Below are 16,886 nucleotides of genomic sequence, written 5' to 3'. Positions count from 1 at the left end.
CCCTCCCCCTTCAAAGTGTCTGCAAGCTTAATCTTTCCTGGTCATGTGACAGGAACACGGTTTTTTTCTGCAACTCGAGCCACCATTGTATTTATGTTTTTATTGACTCCCCAAAATAATCTAGCAATGTAGGTTTTATAATCTTAACTCTAACAATAAGTAAACTGAAGCACAGACAGTGCTAGAAAAATGGCCCAAGGTCAACTCAACCGGCAAACCGGAGTTGAGTTTTCTGTTTGTTTGTTTGTTTGTTTGTTTTTGAGACAGAGTCACTCTGTTGCCCAGGCTGGAGTGCAGTGGTGCGATCTCAGCTCACTGCAACCTCTGCCTCCAGGGCTCAAGCAATTCTTCTTCCTCAACCTCCCAAGTAGCCGGGATTATAGGCACACACCACCACGCCCAGCTAATTTTTGTATTTTTAGTAGAGATGGAGTTTCACCATGTTGGCCAGGCTGGTCTCAAACTCTTGACCTCAAGTGATCTGCCCGCCTTATCCTCCCAAAGTGCTGGGATTACATGCATGAACCACCACGCCCAGCCATTGCTGAGATTTAAACTACATCTTTCCTAATCCAGTACCCATATATTCAAACCAATTTGTCCAATTTCATTTTCCAACAGTTAGTGGGTAGATTTAGTATGTGAATGAGGACCCGGGAAAACTTTCATATGAAAGCTTCGTGTCAGCTCTAGAAATCACCACCTCCTGGCCAGTGTATTCTCACTTATTAATTATATATTTTATATATAATGAATTCATTATCAAGTGTGGGTGAAAGGAGGGGAACTCTATCATGTAATTGCTGTAAACTTGTGGTCAGCAAAAACACAGAGAAAACTGACACATGAGTTAGTGTATTCTACTTTCCAGGTCAGTTTTATGAATTTTAAAAATTTGAACTGCCTGTCAGTATTTTATTTCAAAATGATCTGGATTTTGGTTATAAATCAGCAATATATATTAGTCTAAATGTCATGAAATTTGATGATAGGATAACAACAAAAGAGCTACACAAGTTTAATATGTTTGTTAATTTCTCAGTTATTTTTTGGTAGCATAATGCAATATCCTTTTATCTTAAACATTTTAATCATTAATGAATTTTAAAATCATGAGCAAAATAATCATTATTTTAACTTGAATGCATTTAATTTAAGTTTTTAATACATGTACAAGATCTTAACAAATAAGCATAAATCAAAAATATCAGAAAGAATAAACTACATGGTCATGATGACATTAATTTTTTGAAATTACTGATTGTCAAGTTCGAGTTTTTCATTTTTAATTCATTAATCATTTCCTGAAGTTTGAAGTTAAATGTTTCAGGAGTTATTTCCATAACTTCTAGAGCTAGATTCCGAATGATCTCTATATACATTAGATTTTTCTGTACAAAGATAACCTGTAAAAGATACAAAATGATTACATGTAAACTCTTGCAAATTTTTTAAAGTACCTTTTGGCAATATATGGCTCATAATTTTATTTCATTTCCTTTCTACTAATTTAATGGTAAAATCATAAATTATACAAAGAAAAGTAAGCATGGCATGTCATTCATAGAATTATTGGCAATACCATTTGGCAATACCTGACTTACCAACTTTACTTCACGTTCTTTCTATGAATTTGGTGATAAAATAATAAATTATGCAAGAAAAATATATATAAAATGTCATTGTTATATTATTGGCAATAACTAATAATAACACTATATATCTATTAAACAGAATAAATTGGATCAACTCATTTTTGGGAAAAAGCTCCAAGAAAAATTTTCACAGAATGAAGAAGACTTGGTCTGCTACTGATTGTGTGAAGGGAAGCTGCCTACTGACAGAGAATGCTGCACTAGAACCAAAGGAAAAACTTCAATTGTATGAAGTCTATAAAGTGTTTGGATGTTTTTGTTACTCTAACTGATGCAGAGGTTTTTTTTAAACATAGGTTTAATTTATTCATGTTTAATTTACTCCATTTTTATCTTTCAGACTTGATGTTTTTGCTTTGAAAAACGTTTTAAATTTGGCTCAATGCTTCAGTTCATGTATGGCAAATGGGAATGATATAGTCACTTTCAAACTGGTAGATAAAGAACCCTCTGTTTTTTTTACCTCACTAGAAGATCCAGCATTTGAAGGGCTAGAATAAAACCCTTCTTCCATGACTAATAGTATTGGATCAAGGGAACTCAAGTAAGCCAAATTGCTAGTAATTTCATTAATCATGGCAGGTTTTCTTTTGAAATGTCTTCATTTTCTTTAAATATAAGAGCAAAGTAGAAAGTTTTTTTTTTTAAATGATCTGATGAGCAAAATAAGGAATATATATCGGTATGTAGAACAAAACAAAAGTGTTTCAGTTGGTTTGCCAACTTCAAGTTTCAACATGGTCTCCAGATGAAAGGACAGACCATGAGTAAGAAGATTAAAATGTGTGCTCATTAAATGGTTCTATATATCAAGAGTGATTATTGCTAAAGAAATAGAATGGATACCCACAGGGAAATCTTTATTTTTGGAGTGCTGTAATGTTTATATCACTGATTTAATTATTATTTCTTCCTCTATTTGTTCAACATAATACTGATTTTTAAAAGTATCCTTTTAAGGTTCTTACCTATAGATTTATCCACATTGTCAAGCATATTTAGAAGAACCAGGACTACATTCTGAAAAGCAGTAAAGTCACTGATGAAAGGGGCTACATCAGTATTAAGAAGAATTCGTGGTGGCATGCCCTTCTGGAACTTATATGATCTAATCAAGGTTGTAGGAAAGAGGACTGCAGCTAAATGATCCACAGCCAGTACCCAACTTCTCTCAAAATGCGCTTCTGCTTTAGAATAATAATCATATCTAAAAGACAAACGGAAAAGTATTTAATTATAATTAGTCACCTCAGAAGTTCAAGCTCATTGCCTTCAGAAAATATTGGTTCTTGCCAACAAACTAAATTCATAATTTTATAATTTAGAAAATAGGCTTGATATTGTGATGACTTTATTCCATCCCTCAGGAGGTGTGAAGTTGGCTCATTAAAATTCTAAATCTAGGAAGAATCATCTCACTAATTGTTTACATTTTACATTGCATTTTATCTTCTTTAATTCAGCACATTATACTTGAATACCACCTAATAACCAAAAGTAAGGCATTTTTAAATCATACTCTTTGCCAATGTAGAGATAAATATCAAAGGTCTAAAGCAAAATTTTTGCTAGACTCAAATATCCTTTGTGAAACTGTTGATTTCTTAAAGCCAGGGATCCCAGAAACATTGAGATTTCTAGAAAAATAATATCTAGATCTAAATTGTAAATAATTGGCATTCTTCTACCACAGGAAGCCTCAGGTAGAAAAAAAGCCTCTGTAATTGTTAGAAAAGACTCTGTAATTATTAGAAAAGCCTCTGTAACTATTTGTCCCCATAATAGGTGAGAAAGTTTAGTTTCTCCTAAGAAATGGGGACAAATAATTACAATGGAAAGATTAAAGTTATATTCAGTAGTTTTAGAACTATAAAAGTCATGTCTTCTGTTTCTATGAGCTGTCTAAGCATGCTAAACAACTTGTAGTTTTGCAAACAGACTTGTTCTCCCTGAGACATTGTGTACTCACCATGTGGTTCAGCAGGTACATTCTGTTTCAAGTCTCATCATAGATATTACCTTCTTCACAAAGGTGAAGGGCATTCCAGCCCACCTGAGGTGGAATCTACCACTTTCTTCTCTTCTATATTCCCATAACACTATATCATCCACATATTTGAAGGATTTTTTTCTCTAGTTATATTCTATTATCATGTCTAGAAATTCGATTATCTGATTTTATTTTGACAGCAACATAGAAAAGATACATTAAACAGAAGGTACTTGCATTATGCTTGTTGAGATTAAATAAACTATAACATAACCCAGATAATACCTGTTATCTGTTTGATTCCTATGCTTGTGGGATCCTCCCTGCCCTATACTTGGAAGTGGTAGGGTGGGCAGAGTTGGATTGTCGATGACAGAAGTGTTTGGTCGGGATTCAATGCCCCTTAATACATTACAGTCACCTACCAAGCAAAGATGAAAGGAAATATGAAGTCATAAAGATTTTGAGCAAGGGCCACAGAGGTCTAGTAACAATGTACTAAACAAATTGGAAGTAAGTCAGAATCACTGGGAGAGAAGAGATGAGTGCACCAGTTCAATACACAGAAATCACAAGAGCAGTGAAGAAATTCAATAATAAACTCTTCAAATGCATCAGTTGAATGATTTGTTGGTCAGTTCACCTAATGATCAGATAGAATGTGGTCACCAAAGAAAGAATTAAAGTACACTTGAAATGATTCACATAAAGTTGAAACACAGGCATACATAAGTCAGCCAATCTGAGGATACAGAGCCACAGAGTTTTATTTGAGTATATGCAAGCTACAAAATATACAGTACTGTCTCAAGTAAATACTCCTTAATATATATTTGCCTAAAGAAAGTAACTTGATGAGCTTTTAGGGTTGTTTCACAGCATGCAATAGATTGTAACCATGGCCCCAGTTGTTCTCCAATCCCTACAATTCTGTCTTCTGCTATGTAACTTTCATTACCAGTTCTTCCTAAATTAAGTGATAGGCAGAAATTCCCACTCCTGACTCAGTCATGTAACTTGACTTAAAAAATACAATATTAACGATTTTGACATAGCATAAACTTGAAATACATTTTCACAATTTGGTTATTCTTTCTTGCAATTCTGCCATCATTATGGAAAACAACCAGGCTTGTCTGATGTAGAATGAGACGGGGAACAGAGCTGAGCTTCCCCAGTCATCCCTGCTGGAGCCAATCAAAATCAGCCAACATGAGAGTGAACCCAGGAAAGATCAGCAGAGCAGCATATCTAAACCCCAGACATCTGAGCAATAAACACAGTTGTACAACACTGAGGTTTAGTGATTGTTGATTGGGCTGCTTTCTTTCAAACAAAGCTAACTTAACTCAGAGCCTCACACATAGTAAATTGCAGGGCCCTGTTTTAAACCCTGTCAATTTGCCTTTAAAATCCATGTTCTTTACTACTGCTTTTTGTCATGGTGATAATAGTTACTTTATATTGAATATTTCTCATATGCCAGCAGTACGTTAAGCATAACCTATGGATTTCTTAATTAATCCTCAAAATTGCCCTATGTGGCATGTACTATTGTTATTGCTATTTTAAAAATAAGAAAATTGAGTTTCTCCTTGTTTGAACTCCTAGGTCAAATGAGCCAGGATTTAAAACTCAGGTCTGTGGAACTTCAAAGCAAAACATCTTAATTTGTACATTATTACTTCATTTCAAGGAACAATCATTAGCCTTGAATCTTGTAATATGAATTCATAGACCTTGACAAAGCAGAGACCTCATAAACAGGTAGATTAACAAATCAGAGCACATAAGCAGGTATTTGAAATCTTCCAAAATAATCATATTAAAAGATTTACCTTTTGCCAATATAAGCCTTTGAAAATATTCAAATTGCCTGAGGAACTATTATTAAACTTTCAGTGAGGTGAATTAATAGAAAACATGTATTTTTAGCTTTCTTAATAGTGCACCTATATATAAATTTATCCATAACACAATATTTTATTATATTCTGAACTGATCCCAATTAAAGAGACAATAGAAGGGAATTTTTAGGTAAAAGAGTTTTTTAGTAAAAATGCTGTTTTTAACAAATACTTGTACTTTTGCAACCTAACAAATCTCCATAAAAATGACACAAGAAATAAAATCAGAACACGTGGGGAACAACAAGATTTTGGAAGCTGAAAATTGAAAAGAACTAGTTGAAAAGATTTAATAGAATCAAGAAAATTAAATTCTAAGTAAACAGAGAGGAAAATAGAAAAATAATGCTGATATAATTTGTAGAATTCTCCTCGATTTAAGTCTTAGTAATACCTTCTGGGTAAAAGGAGATTGCTAAAATCAGGGAGATTAAAAGACTTTAAAGAAGCAATCATATACAAAGATTTCCTTCCAGATTTCAAATAGTAGGTAACTGCCACTCCTTGCCCTGGAAAGGGTAGAACAGAGGGTCCTTGAACTGTGTGAACTAAACATGGTTGAAGGTAGGAACACCACCTTGGAAACAGGATATAAGTGTAAATGATATACTGAATGCAAAGACACTCTCCCCTTGCTTCTTCCTTCTCTCTTGACTTCAATAATACTAACAGCCAGGCCTTCACTTCTGAAGCAGGTGACTGAAAGAGTCTCTTCTGGAAACTGGGTGAGCTCAAGAGAAAAGACTTGAAGTTATTGGAACCATAGTGTTGAGACAGCCAAATGCCTAGGCAGATAAAAAGGGGTCCCCAGAGATCCTCCAACCTTCCCCACAAGTGTTTACCTCAGATGCTTTTGTGCAGATGAGGAAACATGCCCAGGGCCTTGTCTGAGCATGCCCGCATGCTCACTGGCAGCATGGGGTGGAGCCACAGGGAATTTGCACCTTACACAGGGGAGGAGCCTGCTCTCTTCAGCTCGAGTGGTGGCCTGTTGTTCAAACTGTGAGGTAGGAAACCTGCTAGCAGGACTCTCTTGGTTTGCTGAGAATTATTTTTCCTTTTTCCTTTTTGCCCCATAAATTCCATTCCCCTCACCCTTCGAAGCGTCTGTGTGCCTGACTTTTCCTGTCAGTGTGCCTGACTGAAAGTCTGTGTGCCTGACTTTTCCTTTGCTTTTTGGGACTGTTAATAAACATATTTTGTGCCACACTGACAAATTTACCATGAGAAAACACGTGCTTCTAGAAAGTATAATTCATAGATTTATCAGTCTACAGATTACTGGCACAACAGTTCACAATTGCTTGTTTCCTAGTGTTCACTGGAAATTTAGGTTAATATGAGTTAAGATTCTTAATTATATATAATTGAAATCACTAGAAATAAGGAAAACAAAGCTATATGCAAGTAGACAGGTAAAATGTGCTTTTGGTAAGAAAAGCTATAATATATGAGGATATTTCGTTTTGTTCAAGAAACAGAAGAGCAAATTTTATCCGGGTATGGAATGACAGGTTGTTCCAAAATGAGAAGAGAGGAAGTATAGGACAAAAACTGAATGTATAAGAAAGTTATAAAAGGTGTGTGAAAGATAAATCTTGTGAAAAAAAATTTTGTGTTGATCAAGTTGGCTAAAATTAGAAGAGAATTATTTATACGTTTTTCTAAAAATCAAGCATTAATATCAAAGGTACACTGATGCAAAACTAGAATTTGTTTCCCTGTGTTAAGCCAAGGTTTTCTTGGAGTATTAGTCTGTTCTTAGTATGACACTGTGAAAAGTTTTTCTTTACCCTTGAAGTAATTGTCCTACAAAACAAAGATTCCACATTTTACTAAGATAATTTCCTGTGCTTCATGTTGTCTTCATTAGGTTTTTTGATCATTTAAACAACTGAGTCCTCTCTATAAAAGATCGAAGGTTTTTCTATAACTATGTAATTTTTCTGCATTTGCCTTTAAAGTCTTTAAATTATCACTCTGATTAAAATGGATGACTATTATTTCCAAGTGATCTGTGATCCTATTTTGATCAAGTATTTTAAACCTTTGATATTTTTGGCAAGCTTCCAAAAAATCAAATTCTAAATCAAGTATTTTTATTGACCTCAAATTAATTTTGGGGCTTTGCAGATGGGCCTTTGGGACATCTCAAAAGGATATCCGTCCTTACAAAAAGAGAGATGTTAAAGTAATTGGGCCTATTTGATAAATAATATGGAAAGCATTGTCAAATAATAAGTAATGTTAAACCTTCTTTAAGTTGTATTTGTATGGATGTGTTATTAATATATGTTCCAGAAATTTTATGAAATTCCTAGAAATCTGATCATCCCATTGGACCGAATGAGAGTTCCCAGAACTGTTAGGAAGAGATTGATTGATTCATAAAACTTCTAACCCAACATCAAGTAGAACAAGAATTAATTGATTACTAAGAAAATGCTTTGGCAGATTTTCATGCTATGTCAGCCAGAACTGAAATTGTTTAGATAAGCAGTTTGAACAAATATCATGAGGTTGACTCAAGTCAAATTACCTATGATAACCTATTTAATAAGCAAGCTATTGACCTGATTTGGAAATACAAAACTGACTTTTTTTTTTTTTTTTGGAGATGGAGTCTCACTCTGTCACCCAGTCCCCAATCTCTGGAGTGCAGTGGTGCAATCTCAGCTCACTGCAACCTCTGCCTCCCGGGTTCAAGCAATTCTTCTGCCTCAGCCTCCCAAGTAGCTGGTACTACAGGCCTGCAACACCACGCCTGGCTAATTTCTGTATTTTTACTAGAGACGGGGTTTCCCATATTGGCCAGGCTGGTCTTGAACTCCTGACCTCGTGATCTGCCTGCATTGGCATCCCAAAGTGCTGGGTGTGCCAGCCAAAACTGACATTTAAAAAAATATAAATTCAATGTTAAATATGGACTCATGGAAAGCACAGATGGCTTCCTAGTCCTTCCTGGGTCCTAAAAGCTTCCATTATTAAAAACTCTATACTCATCATGGAAGAGATAAAATAATCCAAACTATGAGGAAAATATTGGTGGAGTGACTATTCTGAAATGCCTTATCACTAATATTTGGTTTGTTAAACTGATAATGCTGGTAAGGCAATAAAAACCTCAAGTGATATATTTTTGGCACATGCTGGATCATTTGAACACCTACAGACATATTTAATTCAATTGCCACCTTCAGTGCATATTTTCTGGTTTTATAAGTGCTTTTCTATGCGAGAAGGCAAATGCTATAACAATAGTGAAAAGGTTATTAGAAAATGTCCTTATAGGGCATTCCTGGAAACATCTCTAGCAATATAGGCACTCATTTTATCAGAAAAGTTGTAAAACAGTTTAAAAAGGTATTACAAACAAAATGGCATTAGAAAAAGTTAATAGAATTTGTTGGATTGCATTGGTCAAAGGTCCTACTGATTGACAGCAATCAAATCCACTCCTATAGGAAAAGACAGATTGACTCTTTATGAAATAGTTTTTGGAAGGACTATGTCTCTAATAATAAAATCTCATATATCTCATGTTCTTCTAAACTCTGATATGACTCAAAATTATGAGGCTTCAATGCATTTTGCCAAAGCATATTTTCACCAGATAAAAGAAGCCCTTTGCAGCCCACCAGCTGATAACAACCAGATTTTCCATGTTCTAGAACCTAGAGATCAGTTCTTTTGGAAACGACACCAAAGAAAGACTGCCTTTGAACTCCATCAGAAGGTACCACACCAAGCTCTTTTTTGCAGCACAACTTCAGGGATTTGAGTCTTGGATCCACATTTCTCAACTCAAGAGAGCCCCTCCAGACCCCTGGGACTGTACACCCATCGGAGATCTCCAGGTAAAGCTTACTAGGAACGTTTTTTTTCCCCAGAAGAAGATGGCATCCTTGATGTAGACAGCTTTCCCAAGATCATGAATAAAGTCTTTTCTCCTCTGTCAACATGAAGTCTTTTCTCCTTTTCCTTTTTGGCCCATGTTTCTTTTCTGTCTACACATGGCAATATAATGTGATAATGAAGATTTCATACTCAATTACTTCTGCATGGAACTTAACTGAGTATTGCATATGTCATGTTAAACCTAAATCCTCACATGATCTTAGAGATACTCTGGTTCACCCTGTAAGAAATTTCACTGATATTCCATGTGCAATATCTAGTTCTTTCTAAACAGCTAGACTTTTAGATTCAAATATTCAGATTGCCTGTTTAAATCTAACAGTAGGCAAAACCTATAATGAGAGTATGGTAATTAAATTAAGCCAGAATTGAATTTGAAAAACAAAAGGAAGATAATTCGACGTTTGTAGGCAAATTTATAACCCTAATCCTTTAGTTGCTAGTATCTTCTAACCATACAATGATTAAAAAATGAGGCCTTAGACAAATATTACTAATGCTGACTCATAATGCTGACTCATAACGCACAAGGCATCTCACACAGGAGACTATCTGTAGGGTTCTTCCAGAATATATTTTTATTTGTGGAGGATTTAACAACCAACCATATATGTGGGCAAATCCATGTCTCAATAATTACAAAATAAGGAGCCACCGACAATTAAGGGATTCCAAGAGTACTCCTGTCACTCCATAACTAATTGGAAACTGGATATTGGTCTGCAACTCTTAATTTGAACTATGGAATAAAGAGGAATTTACCAGCAGGTATGAATTCTTCTTAATGGGTATTGTTGGGTAAAAAATTCCTTCCCTGGCTTTGTATAAATGTAAAGGAGGTTATGCTTAGAAATACGTCTCATACATTAGTTACTACAGCTGACTCTACTGCAAAGGCTACAATTGGCCAGCAAACTTCTTTAGATTTTCTTGCTAAAGGCATATTAGGTAACCGGATTGCTTTGGACTACCTTTAGGGAGGAATATGTGCGCTAGCTAACACTCCCTCCTGTACTTAAGTAAATTCATCAGGTAGGGTAGAAGCTCAGTTGTAAGAAATCAACAAACAAGCCAATTGGTTAAAACAAGTAGATTTTTCTTCTGGCTTATTATTTATATATTTGATTTATGTTGGTTCAATTCATTGAGGTTCCTTCTGTCTCTTAGTATCAGCCTCCTGACAGCCATCATAATAGTTTCCCTGGTGCACCTTAACCTCCCCAGAGTCTTAAATCCTCTTATGCAGCTATTCATTCTATGTCAAATGGTCTCATTAAAATTAGAATAATGAAAACATAAAGAGAACATAAATAATCAGTCAACTGTCCTGATTTGTGAACTGTGAATTCCATACTGATACCAAATAAGTCAATGATGAAAGTGACAGAGAGTGATGTCAATGCCCAAGGTTTTGGTCAACCTCTCAAAATTGAGAGGCAGACCAAAAGGTGGGGAATTGTTAAATTAAGTTTGGCCTAAAATTGCCACGATATGTAGCAAACTGCAACTTAATGTAGTTTGTAAACAAACTGCAACCAAACTTAAGAGTATTTTCTTGTAACAAATATGGGTCTCAGCCAATCATGGCAGCTGAGCTTCAGCCAATCACAGGCTGCCAACTGATCAAACCATGCCTATACAAGGCAAATTTCTCACCACACTATGTCCAAATGAGGCAAATCTGAGCTGTAACCAATCAAGGTGTTTCCATATGTCACTTTCTTTTTCTGTCTATAAATACTGCCTGCCCACATCACTGGGTGAAGCTCTCTGAACCTCTACTGGTTCAGGATGATGCTGATTAATGAATCATTCATTGCTTAAGTGAATTCTGCTACATTTATCTTATCTATAGTTTTTCTTGTAACAGTGTCTATGATTAAATAATAAAGGTCATCTACATATTTATATTATATTTTGTTTTCTACATTTAGGAAAATGTATTGTCTGTTGCTTTTTTTTTTGTTTTTTCATGCAAGGCTTTTTTTTCTCAAAATTTTCCCCTTCTTCATAAAACACTTTTTTAAGCCTGATCATGTTAAAATATTTACACATCCTCACTATAATCTCCAATGGTTAGGCTTATTATTTAATATAAAGATTGAAAAACACTCTAGAAGAAGAAGAAAAATATATAAATAATGCCCAAAATTATTTATCATATTAAATAGAGATACTTTAAAGATTCATTCTTACCTGTCTTCAAAACTTTTGATATTATCTGCCAAGGTTGAAGTGTGTGCAGCCCATAAGTACTTCAACAGATCATCAAACTTACTAAAAGGTGACTGCAAATACTAAGGTAAAGAGGTCAAATTTATTAATATTTGAGCAACTATAAAATCCTTCTCCCTGAAATTTAGTCATGTTCAGATATATTTTAGCAATATTGTACATAAAAGAAGAATTTTATTTCTAAGAAAAAGTATGTATATGGCCTTAATGCCTAACACTCTTTAAATAACACAAAAATATTCATTAGTTTTAATAATAGCATATGCATCTATAAGTATTGAACTTCAAGTATTTTCAGAGTTTATATTTTATACCGATCAGGCCTTTATTTTTTCCTGTTAACACTGTTAAAATTACCATAAAATCGTGAGTAACAAAAATATCTTCTTAAAATGTTTCATTAGATCTAAACTAATGCAATAATCTACTAAAGTACTAGTAAATATATCTTTTCTTCATTGATTTTAGTCAAATTTCTTCCAATATCCTAGTGGACATGAAGACTCAATTAATCAGAATAGCTTATTAATCATTCAGCAAAATATCCTGTATGCTCACCATTTTTGTATAATGTATTTGAGGCAAGAAGAATGGATAGATTTATGTTAATGCTGTATTGAGGCAGTAGGTGTTAATGACTCATAACACTCTACAATATACTATTAATATATCATGCATAGCAATTTACATCTGCATACTAAGGAAAATATTATGTAATGCACAAAAAAATCCTAGACGAAATTATATGACAAAATAAACTCTCTTCCTATCTCGTAAGAGTATAAAGAAGGAACCTGGTAAAAGGTGTTCCACTTGTTCATTGTCTCAGGGAAGGATGAACGACAGCTAGAAACATCATAACAAAACTTCCTCTCATTCTTGGGTGGGGGCAAAAGCCTGACTTGGTCTGATGATATCCCCATTACACCAGAATCAACCGCAGCAAGAAAGGGTAATGAAGACAGAAAATAATTCAAATCTGTAAGAACAAAAGATTTACTATTACTACAAGCACTAACAAATTTCAAAGAGGATATTTTTAAGGAAGGCATAAGTCATAAAAAAATTCACAGACCCAGAAACATTATAAAAGCTAACCATTAGGAAAAAAATATTGAACAAAAATCCCCCTAAGGATCAAATATATAACTTTGATTGCATTTCTGTTAATAACCTTATAGTCATAAATATATAACATATTGGCTAAAGTAGTTGACTATATTTTAAAACAAAAAGTAATTTTAATGGATATCATAATATTCATTTTTTCAAAGCATTAAGTAAGAATGGAAGAAAGCTATCAACTTTTCCACAAAATGGTACAAAACCTCTCATTACGGTTTTATTGTGAATTGTACTTGTATTTTTCTCTAAAATATTTTAACATGATTATAGCTTTGGTAAATGAATGTTTTCTATTTTATACACATAAGTTTAATTTGTAATCATGATATCACTAAATTTTTATCTTATTTTATCCTTTAAAGCACAAATTTTGGGTAAGTTTTGACAATAGACCATTAGACTGACAATCAAACATGACTATTTTCACATTTTAAAAAATTTTACCTATATATCACCTATTCCAGCAGACTCAGACATTTTCATTAGTTGGATATTAGGCTTATACTGATTTCCACTAGAAATCAGTGATGTAGAATATTTCATCCTAGACAGGCATTTGTGAATGGAATCCTATGCCACAGTGTAGCAGGCTAATCCTCCAAACTACTAAACCAATCTAAGAATAACAAACTCTGAATTCTAGATCTGTGGCCACTACTATTCGCGAGTCTTTTAAAAGAACTAGGGGTAGTAAGTGGAAAATGCTTAAGGATACATATGATGTGTGTTGCCCTGAAAAAGTGAAATTTAATGTGGTCGTGTTTCTAACTATTGAGAAATACCTCTAAGGATTTGTGGTATAAATTGTTTTCATTACTAAAGCATAAAATTAAATGAAAGAATTAGAAAATACCTTCTGGTTATTTTAGCATTAAGTATATGATTAAAGCCTGAGATTACTGATTGGTATAATGAATTGCAGTAGGTATTAATCTCTGGCATGTTTATGGGTTTCAATATTAACCACATCTGGTCTGAGCAAAATGAAAAAGCATCATTTGTCTTGATGTCTCACTTCTCATCGTTCCTTATTCTGGAGATTCTTTGTCATCAGTTGGACCTCCCACCTAACTACCAGAGCTGGCCCCTCAGAGGCCACTGCTTTTGCAGAACCTTGTTTTCGTCCTTCTGTGAAAAGCTGGATATGTCCTAAGGAATCATTATTGACATTGTGGCTCTTAAATCCCTTAAAGTGACCTAAAGGCCATAAGGTACACGGTGAAATAGATTCCTTTTTAAAATAGGAACAGGATTATTTTAGTTCTGTCTCTGTCCCTAAGATTTTAGGTTTGAATGCTTTCTTTCAGGAAAGGTTAATATCTATTTTGCCACTTAAACGAACATACCAGCCCACCAACTGTCCACAGAGATGCACATATGATCTCCAGATTCATAGCCACAGTTTGTCCTTCGGGTTGGATCAGCTAATCTGCCTGGAGGAGAGAGGATGCACAGTCGTATTTATTATACGCATTTTGAAACTGGCTGTAACTATTGCTTAACCACATAGATTTTGTTTGTAGATACAAAAGCATTTATTTCTGAATGATATGTGTTTGTATTCCCATCATTCTTTTTTTATCTTTTATTTTTTAGTTTCTAATTTCTTTCCTTTTCCTTAACAACACAGTTTTCTACTTTTGAGTTATAGGTCCTAAATATTATTTACTTTTGTAAGGATACTCTCTTCTATTTCCTCCTCTACCTTCTAATCGAAACTATGAAGCAATATGCATACAGATGAAAAGAGATGGTCGAGAGTCAAAACAAACCCCTGCTCTACCACTTACTAGCTTGACTTTATCTAAATAACCTCTAATGCCTTAGTTTTCTCATCTATGACATGGGGATAATAATATTAACTACATTATAAGGTTGTGATGTGAGGTGAGAAAAAGCACCAAAGGTGTTTCACCTGTAATATGCATTATGTAAATATTAGAAAATAATCATTGTTTTTCTTCCAAATGAAATTGCTCTTTTCTTAACCTCTCTCTCACACACAATAATTTCTTTATTGGCTGTGTCATCAGCAGGGAGTGGGCAACAGGCACCACTCTTTCTCATGAGCTTCTATCAACCAGAACAAAAGTATCTTTCAATTCATGTATATTTTATCCCAAAATGTAACTTCTGTCTATACACTGTAAGGTACCTTATTTCCAAGAGGAAGCAAACATTTTACAGAGAAAGATCTTCATGAACAATGTGATGCTTCTTTATAACCTCATATCATAATTAGAACTTCAAGAAATTCAAACTAATTGGACATCACTTTGTATATCCCCTTGACTGTTTTGTTCATCTCATTGCTTAGAAAGGAGTGTGGCACTTAGTAGAACTTCAACAAATATTTGTGAAATGCTCAATAGATGAGATGTGATGTCTTTTCACAGTTGATAACTATGTCTTATGCCTCATTGAAGCTTCTAATAATAACACACAACCCACAAAAGAAGGATTTGTGGATAAGGAGAAGGATAGGTAGAAAAACAATGATTATAAGGGAAAAGAGAACAAGATAAAGAATCAATTTTTAAAAACATAGTAGGGTATATACAGAGTCCAATTTCCCAAATACTTCATAGGTCTATCGGTAGATCATTACAATGAAAACAAGAGTCATTCTTACCTGTCCTATATTGCCAGCCATACTGCAGAGGCAACCCCCATAAAATATTCTGTTCATTATCTGGTGCAAATTTTGCAAAATACCTGGCTGTCTGATTCAATATGATTTTATACATCCCCATTCTCTCAAGGTATACCCAGGGATTAATAATGTACATGCTGTTCTCCACCCTGTAGTCACTGAGCTGACCAGGACTCTCCTTCCACAGAGGGGGCTCTGTCTCTGAGAGATTGGAAGTCCCTGCTAAGGAAGCAGAAAAGGAACCAACTAGTACACAAACCCAGGAAGGAAGAAAAGCCATTGTGCCAGAGCTGGGGATTGCGATCGTAGCAGGGCTTTTATTGGAGAATGGAAGAGGAAGTCATGATATTTGCTAACCTCACAGCATATCAACACTTTGCTTTTTTGTTTTCCTGGATAGGGTGAAAATGTAGAAGAAATTGATGTATTAGCTAACATTTAGGACAATTAAATTTCCCAGACTCTTCAGCGTCAGAATACTGTGTCAGAACCTAAATACAAGGTTAGGCTTGTTTATAATGTATTAGATAAAACTATTTATCAACAAAAACCTTCCAGAAGTTTCCCAGGCTGCATTGTGATTACAAAATACATCACAAATGGCTTTAGAATGCTTCCCTCTAATAAAAATACTTTAACATATTTCATGGAAAATATTAAATAGCTGGAGATGGAAATACTAGGATTTATAATAATCTTCAAATGTGTACTAAAAATATGTGTGATCCAGTTGTAATACAATGTTCTGCTTCAAGAAAGAAGCTTAAAGAATATCTAATTAGCTCAATTCAATAATGAAAGTCAGCCTGCTGGAACAAAACCTGCTAGTTAATTCTTAATATCTATTTTTCATTCTTTATTAGTAAAAGAATCGTAGAATTTTAGCTGGGAATATGGTCTCCCAGAATTAAGGCTAAATTTCCAATTTGCTTTACACAAGCAACCATGTGACTAAGTGTGGACCACAGAGACATAAATAGAAATAGTATCCACAATTTCTGGAACATGTCCTAAAATGAAGGGCACATGTCAATTCCTCTTCCCTTCCTCCATGTTGTGGCTTGGATTATTGATGTGATGATTGAAATTCAATTCTGACCCCTAAACGCAAGGCACTATCTTAGGGATGACAGAATGCAAAGCTGGAGGTGGCTTGAGTCCCAGAGGGCTGTGGAGCCATGAGATGTCCTTGAATTCCTATATCTGAGTTTTACCTGAGCAAGAAACACCCCACTCTCTTGTTTCAACCACTGTTATTGAAGTTTTATTCACACATAGTAAAAATTCTTGCCTTATTAATAGGTAATGCATCTGAAAATCTCAATTATTTACACAATTAGATGCATATGCTTCATAGTAGGTCACTGGTACTGCTTGTTCCTGGCATGGTCCACATTAAACAT

General features: G+C 34.4%; 1 protein-coding gene across 1 annotated transcript; it reads right to left on the bottom strand.

Moving 5' to 3' along the window:
- Positions 1 to 1,128: 1,128 nt before the first annotated feature.
- On the bottom strand, positions 1,129 to 15,775 carry C6orf58 (chromosome 6 open reading frame 58). Its single transcript, NM_001010905.3, has 6 exons — positions 15,463 to 15,775; positions 14,177 to 14,263; positions 12,500 to 12,684; positions 11,667 to 11,767; positions 2,624 to 2,862; positions 1,129 to 1,406 (listed from the first exon to the last, which is right to left on the bottom strand). Exons 1-6 carry the CDS (start codon positions 15,761 to 15,763, stop codon positions 1,327 to 1,329), a joined length of 993 nt encoding a protein of 330 aa, NP_001010905.1. The 5' UTR covers positions 15,764 to 15,775; the 3' UTR covers positions 1,129 to 1,326.
- Positions 15,776 to 16,886: the final 1,111 nt, after the last annotated feature.

This window comes from Homo sapiens, chromosome 6, assembly GCF_000001405.40.
Source record: "Homo sapiens chromosome 6, GRCh38.p14 Primary Assembly".
Lineage (NCBI taxonomy): Eukaryota > Metazoa > Chordata > Mammalia > Primates > Hominidae > Homo > Homo sapiens.
Note: the sequence above shows the minus strand (reverse complement) of the source record. Positions and strands in the feature narration are given on the sequence as shown.

Coding starts and splice junctions, on each gene's coding strand:
- C6orf58 (NM_001010905.3), bottom strand. CDS start 15,763: ATGGCTTTTCTTCCTTCCTGGGTTTGTGTACTAGTTGGTTCCTTTTCT. Junction 11,768..12,499: donor AGTGGAACACCTTTTACCAG/GTTCCTTCTTTA, acceptor TCTTTACCTTAG/TATTTGCAGTCACCTTTTAG. Junction 2,863..11,666: donor ATCAAAAGTTTTGAAGACAG/GTAAGAATGAAT, acceptor TTTGTCTTTTAG/ATATGATTATTATTCTAAAG.